The 12,967-nt window shown below is 36.6% G+C and overlaps 1 protein-coding gene across 21 annotated transcripts in view; it reads right to left on the reverse strand.

Annotated features, from left to right (window-relative positions):
- The window catches only part of BAZ2B (bromodomain adjacent to zinc finger domain 2B), a 397,131-nt gene that overhangs the window by 223,719 nt on the left and 160,445 nt on the right, over positions 1–12,967 (reverse strand). For 2 of the 21 annotated variants that reach the window (XM_047444051.1, XM_047444037.1), the window contains exon 1: positions 1,248–2,251. The exons of the other annotated variants lie outside the window; for them this stretch is intronic. In XM_047444051.1, the coding sequence (XP_047300007.1) occupies positions 1,248–1,296 (49 nt within the window). In that variant the 5' untranslated portion in view covers positions 1,297–2,251. Of the gene's footprint in view, positions 1–1,247; positions 2,252–12,967 lie in introns of those variants that run through there. 21 annotated transcript variants of the gene reach the window in all.

Genomic DNA, 12,967 nt, shown 5'->3' on the forward strand with positions numbered 1-12,967 from the left:
TACCTATACTCTGCTTCAAAACGCAGGGGGCGGAAATCTCCATAGAGTGAATATTTTTGATGTGGCCTTTCCCACCCATAAGGATCATATCATGCTTTCTATAGTCAAAAAACATTAAACATACACCTCTACTGTGCCATCTACCACAGCTATAATGACCAGTTTATGTGTCTGTCTCTCCAGTAGAAGATAAGCTCCTAATGAAGAAAAGAAGAACAGTGCATTTTCTACTTTTATAAATTTAGTAAGTAACTCAAAAAGAACATAATGCTTATTAAATCAAGGAATAAATCATAACCATGAATTTCTCTTCAAGATAATGGAAGTTTCTTAAATATGCCAGCAAGGGCAAATAATTTAGGGGCAACACAGAAGAATGCAACCAAAAATATAAATTCATACACAGCATAAAGAATTTATAATAATGCTTTAATACCATTTATGTACTAGTGTCCTCCATAAAAATCTCCACTAGGAGAAAAGCTGAATATGAAACAGTCTCAAATTAAACATGGTGGTGGAGGGATTATTAAAATCAACCAACCAAAAAAATCTTCCAGGCTAGCCATGGTGGCTCATGCCTGTAATCCCAGCACTTGGAGTCAAAGGCTGAGATAAGAGGACTGCTTGAGCCCAGGAGTTCAAGACCAGCCTCAGCAACATACTGAGACCCTGTCTGTATTTAATTTAAAAAACTAAAATCAAATGAAACATCTTCCAGTGGCTTCTCTTCACATTAGAAAGAAGCTTAAACTTTTTTTTTAAATGATATCTGCCTACCTTTATTCCCACAGCTCACTACATTCCAGCCTCACTGGCACTGTGATCACTATAACCTCTGATTTTCACAACACGACACCTGGCTCTTTCTGGTGATTCATTTCTCAACACAAGTGTTACCTCATCAGGGAGACCTTCCCTGACTGTTATATGTATGTTGCCCTCAATTCTACCTGACTACCTGTATATGCTATCACATTTTCCTTCCTCCATCCCTGTTTGGAGCTCTTATCAATAATTGAGAATATTTTACTTATATATTTGTTTACTTCTCCCCAGTAGAAAGTAAACTTAATGACAGAAGAAACTTCATCTTATTGACCACAGTAACCCCAATATCTAGACAGTGGAAACACACAAGCAGCACTCCATAAATTATTTGTAGAATGAATAAATGAGTGAATGAGTGACAGTATGTGAAGCATACAATATAATGACTAAATGAATAAATGGCTAAAAATTCCTACCTAGGAATGTGCTGTCAGGCAGAATCTTTGAGACCAAACAACTTTCCATCTGATAGCTTTCTTCATGTCTCTTTCCTTACTGAATATCAATACTACAACTGAGGTACACAAAAATAAAGATAATTAAATGAGAGAGATTGGCAGTATATAAGTGGGTTGAAGAATGTGTCTCATAAGATCACCTCAGGGCACACACTAGCTGATTCTAGAATTCTTTTCTTTCATAATCCTGTTTCTGTCATTCAATCAACTAGCAAGTATGCACTGAGGATGATGTTTTCTATTTCTAAATATCCATACTAAGGTCTCTTGAACACAAGTTAGTTTTATATCCTTTGAGAGTATTGTAGTAAAAACAGCATGGTCTTCAGTTAGTGAAATATGAATTTGAATCTTAGTTACAACCAGTACTAGTTATGTCAACTAGGAGCAGTTACTTAATTTCACTAAGTCTAAGACAAAACGATACTTGGAAACTATCTGGTATATAAGTACCTTCATTGTTAGTTCTCCCTTAGAGAGCAGGAACTGAAAAGTAGAAGAAATCATAAGAATAGATCAAACCTATCTTTATTCTAATGTTCACTGTTGAAAACTGTGGTTCACCTGTTTACTGAGAAGCAACAAGTCACAAGCAGAGCTAACAAAATTAATGTAAATGTGACTACATTTGCAAAGGGTAAAATCACATCTCTCAACATAGTAGGCATTCATCTGCTGAAATAATAATAACATCAGGTCACAGAAACTTCAGCCTTTAAATTTTTTACACATTTCCTAGATTTGTATTTCTAAGAAATGGGGTGATACAGATGTTAGATCCAAACATTCCTGGATTATGACCTTTGTTTTACTGCTTAATCACTGTATGACCTTGAGAGAGTTATTTAACTTCTATAAGCCTCAATTAAAATCGGGTTGTTGATAATTTAAACATACTTCAAACATTTCCCATTGCTCTAGGGTAAACAAACAAAAGCCCTTATTATTATTATTATTATTATTATTATTATTGTTTTGAGATGGAGTCTCGCTCCGTTGCCCAGGCTGGAGTGTAGTGGCATGATCTCAGCTCACTGCAACCTCTGTCTCTTGTGTCAAGTGATTCTCCTGCCTCAGACTCCAGAGTAGCTGGGATTTCAGGTGCCCACCACCATCCCTGGCTAATTTTTTGTATTTTTAGTAGAGACGGGGTTTCACCATGTTGGCCAGGCTGGTCTCAAACTCCTGACCTCAGGCGATCTGCCCACCTCAGCCTCCCAAAGTGCTGTGATTACAGGTGTGAGCCACTGCGGCCAGCCAAAAGTCCTTGTTATTAAACAAACAGAAGTTCTCATTATGGTCTACTATGTCCTGTATTTTCTGGTTGCTTATCTCAAACTGCAATCCTTGCTCTCTGTACTCCAGTCATACTGGCTTTTAGTTCTTTCCTTCAAAGTGCTACGTTCCCTTCCTATTTATCTGAGTAGTAACCTTTACTGGAGTTCTTTTTTTCTTCATATGCCTTTAAGTTACTGTCCAGGTTCCTCTCATTTCAGCCTGAAGATCTCCCATTAGGGCATTTCTTATAGGCAGGTTTACTAGCAACAAATTCCCTATCTAAAATATGCTCAAAGAGCAAAAGGAAACCCATAGACAAAAGAATGAAAGGAAACCAGGAAAACAATGTATGAACAAAATGAGAATATCAATAAAGAAACAGAAATTTTAAAAAGGAACCAAATAGAAATTACAGAGCTAAAAGTTATGATAGCTAAAATGAAAAATTCACTAGAGGGATTAACAGCAGATATGAGTAGGCAGAAGAAAAGAACCAGTAAACTTGAAGATAGGTCAACTGAGATTATTCAGTCTAAGGAACAGGAAGAAAACAGAATGAACAAAAGTGAACAGAGCCTATGGAACCTGTAAGACAACATTAAGTGGACCAATATGCATTATGGATATGCCAAAAGGAGAAGAAAGAGAGAAAGGAGTAGAAACAATGTTTGAAAAAATAGTGGATGGAAACTTCCCAAATTTGAAGAAAGACATGAATCTACATATCCATATCCACAAGCTAAATGAACTTCAAGTAGGATAAATTCAAAGAGATCCACACAAAGACACATTATAATCAGCTATTGAAAGCCACAGAGAAAATCTTGAAGGCAGCAAGAGAAAGGCAACTTGTTATGTTCTTATGTACAAGGAATCTTCAATAAGATTAATAAGCCAGGTGTGCCGGTACATGCCTGTAGTCCTAGCTATTCAGGAGGCTGAGGTGGGAGGATTGCTTGAACCCAGGAGTTCATGGCTGCCATGAGCTATGATCATACCACTGCAATCCAGCCCAGGCAAGAGAGTAAGATCCTGTCTCTAAAAATAAAAATAAAAATAAAGAAGTATGAGTAAGATTAACAGCTGATTTGTCATCTGAAAGCATAAAGGCAAGAAGGCAGTAGAAAAACAAATCTGAAGTGCTTAAAAATAAAAAAATCCAAAGAACTATTAACCAAGAATTCTATAATATATCCAGCAAAACTATATTTTGAAAATAAAACAGAAATTAAGACCTTCCCAGGAAAATGAAATAAATAAGATTAATATTAAAAGCACCTAGCATCATAGTAAAAAGAGAAGAAGTGCAGCATAACAATAAAGACACAGGCTCCATGTCAAATGCCTGGGTTTGAATCCTAAACTTCACTGATTGCCATGTAACTCTGGGAAAATTCCTTAACTTCCCCATAGCTCAGTTTTCCCACCTGTAAAGTAAGAATAATAATGATACCTCCCCCTCACAAAGTTGTTCGGAGGATGAAATAAATTAAAGCTATAAACTCATGACAGGGTGCCTGGCACATATTAATCACTGAAATGTTGACTATTACTTATTATTATCATTATCATTTTATAGAGGTTCTAAAAATTTTAGTTCTTATTTCCTTGAATTTCCCATATTTCTGTGAAACAAACACTGACTATTGAGGAGGTATGATACAATAATAATCTTTTTGTTTGCAGAAGTATGAATTGGTAAAATAATAAAAATTTATTTTAGGTATGATAATGCTATTAGGCTAAATGTTCTATCACCTCCTTTAGCAAATCCTTTATTATCAGAGACACTGAGTAAAATAAGTGATAATGAATATACTTTTTTTTTCTCTCTCAAGCTTTGCCTCTGAGATGCTTATCCTTTTGTGGTATGGACTTATGCTTTTTATATAAACAAATAGCCCCACATTATTATCATACCTAAAATCTTAACAATTCTTTTTTTTTTTTTTTTTTTGAGATGGAGTCTCGCTCTTTTGCCAGGCTGGAGTGCAGTGGTGTGATCAAGGCTCATTGCAACCTCTGCCTCCTGGGTTCAAGGGATTCTCCTGCCTTAGCCTCCTGAGTAGCTGCAACTACAGGCACACGCCACCACACCCAGCTAATTTTTGTATTTTTAGTAGAGACGAGGTTTTGCCATGTTGGCCAGGCTGGTCTTGATCCCTTGACCTCATGATCCACCTACCTTGGCCTCCCAAAGTGCTGGGATTACAGGCATGCGCCACCGCGCCTGGCCAACAATTCTTTCATATCAAACACTCAGTCGATGTACACATTTCTTTGTCTTATATTTTTAAATTGCCTGTTTGTTTGAATCTGGACTCAAATAAAATCCATATATTGGATCTGGCTGATATGACTCAAGTCTCTTTTAATCTCTAAATGCTCTAGCCAATCTTTTCTTTTTCCTTCCTTATTATTTTTAGCTAAAGAAACTAGGTCCTTTTCCTTTTAGAGTTTTCCACAGTCTGGATTTTCCTGACTCTGTCCCCCTGGTGTAATTTAACATGTCCTTCTCTCCTTTTTATTTCCTGTAAATTAGGCTTGATCATATTTAGTTTTTTTTTTCCTTTGGCTGGACAGCCTCATAGGGGAGGTACATACTTTTGTTAGCAAGTACATAATTTCTTTCTTATGTAAAACAGTGATAATAATGGTGTCTAACTCTTAGAGTTAAGAGGATTAATTTACTACAGGTCAAAAGTTTAGATTAGTACCTGGCGCACAGTGAGCACTCCACTAACATTAGCTCTTATTGTTACAATGCATATAGAGAATCAATAGGATTTGATACCAGCTTAGATGTGAATTTGTGAAGAAGCTGAAGATAACTAATATTTCTACCTTGAGCGGCTAAGTAGATGTTGATATCATTGACTAATACAGGGAATATATAAAGAGGAGAAGGTTTCTGGAAAATTAGAAGAAAATGAGTTCAAGTTTGAACAGGTTGAATTACATGTCTGTGGGATAACCAGGTACCAATCCTATATAGAGAGCTGCAAATGGAGGTTCTGCAATTTAAAAGAGAGGTCTGGGGAGCTACAGATAAAGATCAAATGTTGGGCGGAAAGGGAACTTAATGAAGGTCACATTTATCACTAAAGACTACAAGACCTCTTTGAAGAATGGATTGGCATTGGGTAAGGAGAGGTAGTGGCACTTCGAGAAAAGGAAATATGTGGAAAAAAACATTCCGACAAAATCGTCAGTATATTTGTCGCTAAAGGAGTGCTTTGACTATAAAAGAATGTGTGTTGGAAACAGAGGGAAATTAATTTATGTAGATAGGGACAAGGCTACATTTAAATGGCTTTGAAATTCAGGAATAGGTAATTCAATTTAAGTAGGAAATAAGACACTGAAAAAGTTAGCAAGACAGCTGAATTCTGCTGTGGCAACATTATACAAAAAGCTATCATAACAGAATCTGAAAAGTAAAATGTACTTGCTATATTATTCGAGAGGATTTTAATTTATGCCAGTTTTATTTCCACTGAAGTTAAAAGGAATGTTGTCTAGGCACTGTAACTTTAGGCAATAGCCCAAAGGTGGAAGATGTTATCTTTAGTACCTTCCCATATCACTTCCCAGTCCCTTCTCCTGCCTCTCCACTTCCCTGATGAACCAGTGTTCTCAATCTGCTCTAATATAAAAAACTACATTTTTGCAATGATGCAATGTCTTGTTCCCTGAAGCACTCTGGTTACATCTCCTTGCTTAGTTCTACCCTGCCAGGAAATCATTCATTCTCTGTCGCCACTCTACAGATCTCAGCTAAGAAAAAGACAAAAACTGATTATCTAATTAAGGTAGTGCATACAACACTGTAAGTGATCAAAATCCTAGGAGATATTTAATTTCAAAAAGAGGAATCTATTAACACCTATGAATTTCAAGTTGTTAAAATATATACTATCTCTCTGTTTTCTATACTATACATTCCAGTTACACACTAAAAGGCAAAAAATGTCACTAATTTTCCTTATATTACACTTTGCACACCAGCAAAGCCAAGTTTGTTGCATAGATATTTACTGGGTCACTACTAGGAAAAAGTACTGAGACAGACTCTAATGAAACTGCAAGGATGAATAAAATATAATCTATGCCTTTACTAGATTATAAGGAGTTTACAGTCTAATAGGTAAAACAACTGAACACATAATCATCACGTAAGGATCTAAGGACTCTGTAACGTTTCTGAAACTTAACCTATGTATAAACCCCTTATGAAGACAGAAAAAAGGTTTTGTGAAACACCCTCCACCGACTGACTTATTATATTGTTACTGAAATATAGAAAAATACAACTACGGATAAGGATAAACTATTCCTCTTGCTTCCAGATCTTATTTCAAATACAATACCAAAACAATTTCCAAATATGCACATAAAAGCTATGAATAGCACATTTCAAGTTAGTATCATACAATGTTTTTGTGAAAATGAATCATTATAGTCAACATAAAAATGGTACTGACTGCTATTTCTCCATTATTTTTCAGTTACATTTTGGTTTGACATGCCTATAGTCTAGTGATATGGTTTGGCTGCGTCCCTGTCCAAATCTCATCTTGAATTGTACCTCACACAATTCCCACGTCATGGGAGGAACCCAGTGGGAGGTGACTGAATTACGGGGGCGGGTCCTTCGTGCGATGTTCTTGTGATAGTGAATGAGTCTTATGATATCTGATGGTTTTAAAAACGGGAGTTTCCTTGCACAAGCTTTCTCTCTCTGCCTGCCACCATCCATGTGAGACGTGACTCCTTCACCATGATTCTGAGGTCTCCCCAGCCACGTGGAACTGTAAGTCCAATAAACCTCTTTCTTTTGTAAATTGCCCAGTCTCGGGTAATCAGCAGCGTGAAAATGGACTAATACATCTAGTATGCCCTAAATGGTTTAATATCATTTGTTTCTACTCAAATGACTGCAAAACTTTTAGTTCACTCTGATGTCATCAGGCTTTCACTTAATACAAGTGAACCATTTACAATATTAAATCTATTTTTGTTCTTTTCTCATTAGACTAACATAATTAAACATAATCATAGCCCTGAAAATACATGGTAGTAACTGGTTGTAAGGTAGGCATGGCATACCACATGATCTAAGAATATGCTCATACTGATTTATTTTATATTAACATTGAAATTTTAGCCCTCTTTCTCCCTGTGGAGAATATATTTGCACACTCAGGTCCATGTACCCCTGTGTTGAAGTAAATTGCCATAACAGAAATAACAAATCTGAAAGGCAGAAATGATAGGGAGATTAATTCCAAATGAAAAGGATCCAAAGGTTTTATGGAGGAGGTAACATTTGAAATGAACTGTGACATTTGAGTTTAGTGCCAAGTGTCTACGTTTTCTGAAATTTCCTTTCCATAAAGATGACACTGAAAATATAAAGCTACTAGAGTTTAGAAAAAAAGACACACAGGAAATATTCAGTGGTAAGGGGAGTGAGGAGACAAAAATCGTAAATTTTATGAACAAAAGTTGAGGGGTTTCTCTTGAGGAGAAAGAAAATCAGAGAATAAAATTGCAAGCATGAGATGTGCTATTTGCAAAATAAACAGCATACTTTGCATGTTGTAAAGTTTACACATACTATCTTACATTCTGATGCAAATGTAGCTATGGATGTAATGTTTTAAAAATGCATTTAAAAATGCATTCACATAAGGACAGCTTCAGGAATATTTGTATTAGTTAAACTTTTTTAACATTCATGACTCGCAAACTTTTGATGCTATACAACAAAAAAAATTTTCCATTTTTGTCAAAATTCTTTCTCCTCCATGGTTTTTTCTGTGTATATTTATATAAAAAGAACAAAGAGGTCAAATATCATAAACCCATAACTCAGTGTACAACACCCATTTTCTCATCTCTAGTTTCTGCAGACTACAGTTATATTTTATCCACTCCCTGACTAGCATTTCTTATATCTCACAGCAGAAGTGTGCATTGGTGTTCTACAAAGTGTGAGTGGAAGAAAACAATTTACTAGCCATATTAAATTTCAAGTCACCTTAATTCAGGAAATATTTACCTAGTCTATATGCTAGACACTGCTGATTACAATAAGAAAACATCAAACCACAGCAGAAAACTGGTTTTTATTTTATATTCTCTGATGTTTCCATAATTATTCCTAGATCTGTAAAAGTTTCTTTTTTTAAGACAGATTTATTAAACAGTAGCTCATTTAGAATTTTCTGATAAATCAGAATCTATCTTTAAATCAAGGGATTGTGTAACATTACACATTTTGACTTGTTCAAAAGAAGCTAAACTTATATCTGTGCAGCATGGTGTTATTTATATATGCAGCCACTCATACAGAGAACATCATGCATGCTTTTAGCTCCATTAATTGTTAAATGTTAAAACAGTACAACTTCTGAGAAAATGCAGTAGAGGTAAAGAGAGGGTTTCTTTCATCCAAATATACATTTAGGAATAGCAATGGGAAATAGATTTACATGAAGTAACTGAAATGGCTGCTACATACTAATTTTGAAGATACTGTTCAAAATATTCAGACTCTAGAAAACAAAATGTTTAGGATGTATTTTATAACGTTACTGTACTACATTTTAAAATTTTAACACCTTTAGATTTGTCACTTGCTATAAAATATGGAAATTCTTAAAAAGATTTTCACTTCCAGTTTTATCACTGTTATTATATTTTACTAAAGATATTTTAAAATTGACTATAACTCTACTTTTGGTATTAGAAAAGTGAAAAATAAAGGTCAGATAGTACATAGTAAACTTGTTCTGGAAATGACTATTTTTTGCACTTTTCAGATAATGACTTAACTATCACTTACAACACACTAGGAAAGATATTTGACCTTTCCAAGTCTCAGTTTGGGCATCTGTAGAATGTAATGATATATCTTTTAAAATTGTTAAAGTTTCAAATAAGTACCTAGCATCTTAAAAAATCAGTGGATAAATAAATATTAGCTTTGTTCTTCATTCCTCAACACATGTATCAAAATATATTATCAAAATTAAAAATATTTAATGATAGTCAAGTACAGTGGCTCACACCTGTAACTTCCATGCTTTGGGAGGCCTAGGTGGAAGGATTGCTTGAGGCCAGGAGTTTGAGGTTCCAGTGAGCTATGATTGTGCCACTGTAGTCCAGCCTGGGTGACTGAGCAAGACCCTGTTTCTAAAAATAAAAACATAACCAAAGAAAAACCCCACTAAAATTTAATGGAAAAGCAATAAATAATATTAAATTTACATTAAAATAACTCATCACTAGGTATCTAGCACTTACCAAAGTTTTTAGTTTATAAATTCCTATAAGAGCTGAACATTAGGCTCATTTACTTCCTCAAATGTTATATTTCAACAACGTTAAACTAAGGCCGGGCGCGGTGGCTCACGCCTGTAATCCCAGCACTTATGGGAGGCCGAGGCAGGCAGATTAGTTGAGGTCAAGAGTTCGAGACCAGCCTAAGCAACATGGCGAAACCTCATCTCTACTAAAAATAGAAAAATTAGCCAGGCATGGTGGCATGTGCCTGAAACCCCAGCTACTCAGGAGGCTGAGGCAGGAGAACTGCTTGAACCTGGGAGGCGGAGGCTGCAGTGAGCCGAGATTGCACCACTGCACTCCAGCCTGGGCAACAGAACGAGACTCTGTCTCAAAAACAAACAAACAAACAAACAACTAAAACTAAAACATTTACATGTCTCTGAACATATGTTCTTTCAAGTCTATATGCCTATTTCCTCTTTCTAGACTCTCTTCTACATTATACTTCAAAGTCTAGACCACGTGTCTCACTCCTCTGCAAACGTTTCTTGATCCCCTGTGCTAGACAGAATGAATCATTTCCCTTTCCATTCTTCTCCTAAAACTTCCAGAGCTGTCTCATCTTTTGGCTTCCCCGGGCTACACTGGATGAAGAGGGATTGTGTTGAACCACACATAAAATACAGTAACACGAACGATAGCTGATGAGCTAAAAAACAAAAATCACAAAAAAAATCTCATAATGTTTTGATAAAGTTTCCAAATTTGTGTTAGGATGCACTGATAGCTGTCCTGGGCTGCATGTGGCCCACAGGCCACAGGTTGGACAAGCTTGACTTAAACCATGGAGACAGTAGAGTTCAAATAAAACAAGTGAGATGTTTAAAAAAAAAAAAAAAAGACATTTTCACACTGGCATAAACTTTTTTCTTTCTTTTTTTTTTTTTTTTTGATACAGAGTCTTGCTGTGTAGCCCAGGCTGGAGTGCAGTGGTGCAATCTCAGCTCACTGCAACCTCCGCCTCCCGAGTTCAAGCAATTCTCCTGCCTCAGCCTCCTGAGTAGCTGGAACTACAGGCATGTGCCACCACGCCTGGCGAATTTTTGTATTTTTAGTAGAGATGGGGTTTTGCCATGTCGGCCAAGCTGGTCTCAAAACTCCAGACAAGTGATCTGCCCACCTCTGCCTGATCCACCCACCTCAGCCTCCCAAAGTCCTGGGATTAAAAAAGGCGTGAGCCACCGCATCCGGCCACAATGGCATAAACATTCTTCATCAAGCTAGCTTGGTGTATCAGGATTAGTTTTGGCCAGGAGTGACAGAAAGCCCAAAAGTGAATGGCTCATACAATACAGAATTTTATCTCTGTCATGTCAAAGAAATCCAGGGATAGGCAGGCCAGTAGGGACAGTGTAACATCATGTTAGTAAGGATTTTCTTTCTTACTGCTGCTTTACCCATTCTCAGTATAGGGTTTCCACTCACAGTCCAATTATGCTCACAATTCAGCCAGCAAGGAGGAAGGGGGCGAAAAAGAGGATGTGCACCCATTCCTTTAAGGATACATCCTGAAAGTTGCACACACTACTTCTGCCTATATATCTCTTGCCAAAATTTAGCCAGATTACTATACCTAGCTGCAAGGGAGACTGGGGAAATGATGTTTTTATTCTAGGTAGTGATATACCGGAAAAAAAATTAGAAGAGGGGGAAAACCAGTATTAGGGACAACTATCAATCATGCCATACTTGGTTATATCTTCTCTGTGGTAGGTACCTGACATTTTAAATTTACTAGCTAACACCAGTATTTCTGACAGTATGTACACTATAAAGTTATACAGCAATTCCTTCTACATCTCAATTATTAAGTATTACTATTGGGAGAGGTGTATCTCTACAAAATTTAAGTAATATTCATAATAAAATTACCAAAGAGAAAAATAGAAAAAAAAATTTTTTTGAGGCAAGGTCTTCCTCTGTAGCCTAGGCTGGAGTACAATGGTACAATCTTGGCTTACTGCAGCCTTGAACTCCTGGACTCAAGCAATCCTTCCACCTCAGCTTCCCGAGTAGCTGGGACTACAGGCTTGAGCCACCATGCCTAGCTGATTTTGTTTATTATTTTGTAGAGACAAAGTCTCACTATATTGCCCAGGTTGGTCTTTAACTCCAGGGCTCAAGCAATCCCCCCTGTTGGGCTCCCAAAGTGCTGGTATTACAGGAGTGAGAGCCACTGTGCCCAGGCAAGAAATTTTAATAAAAACAGAAAAAGCCACTTTATTTAAAAGGTTGCCGGCCGGGCACGGTGGCTCACGCCTATAATCCCAGCACTTTGGGAGGCCGAGGTGGGCGGATCACGAAGTCAGGAGATCAAAACCATCCTGGCTAACATGGTGAAACCCCGTCTCTACTAAAAATACAAAAAATTAGCTGGGCGTGGTGGCGGAAACCTGTAGTCCCACCTACTCAGGAGGCTGAGGCAGGAGAATGGTGTGAACCCGGGAGGTGAACCTGGCAGTGGGCCAAGACTACACCACTGCACTCCAGCCTGGGTGACAGTGAGACTCAGACTCAAAAAAAAAAAAAAAAAAAAAAAAGTTGCCTTAGGACAGATTATTAAATATACAGTAAAATATTAAATAAGAATATCTGAAGATAAAATATAGCCACTATAATAATGAAATTACATATAAACAAGACTGCATGTAAATGCAACTGCAAAAATACGCTCAGAGAAGACAGAGGATTAAGGGAGATTTAAGAAAATAACCTCTGAATTATTTTATTATACTTTCTATAAATGCTATTTAGACACCTTTAATCAAGTAAGAACTGATCACAAAACAGAACAGTAAAAATTCTAACAGGATAAAGCAAAGTCAGGTTAGTCCAAGTTCTCAAATCATGTAATTTTAGACAAGTAACTTTACAGATATTGATGAGTATGATGAGGGTAAGAAAAGTGTAGTATGTGCCATCTTTTGTGCTAAGTGCTTTATGAGCAATGTTTATTTAATATTCCAGACATAATAATATTATCCCTACTCTAGAAAAGAAAAAATTGGGTCTTAGACTAAGAAACTGACTCATGATCACATCAGCTA

This window comes from Homo sapiens, chromosome 2, assembly GCF_000001405.40.
Source record: "Homo sapiens chromosome 2, GRCh38.p14 Primary Assembly".
Classification (NCBI taxonomy): Eukaryota; Metazoa; Chordata; class Mammalia; order Primates; family Hominidae; genus Homo; species Homo sapiens.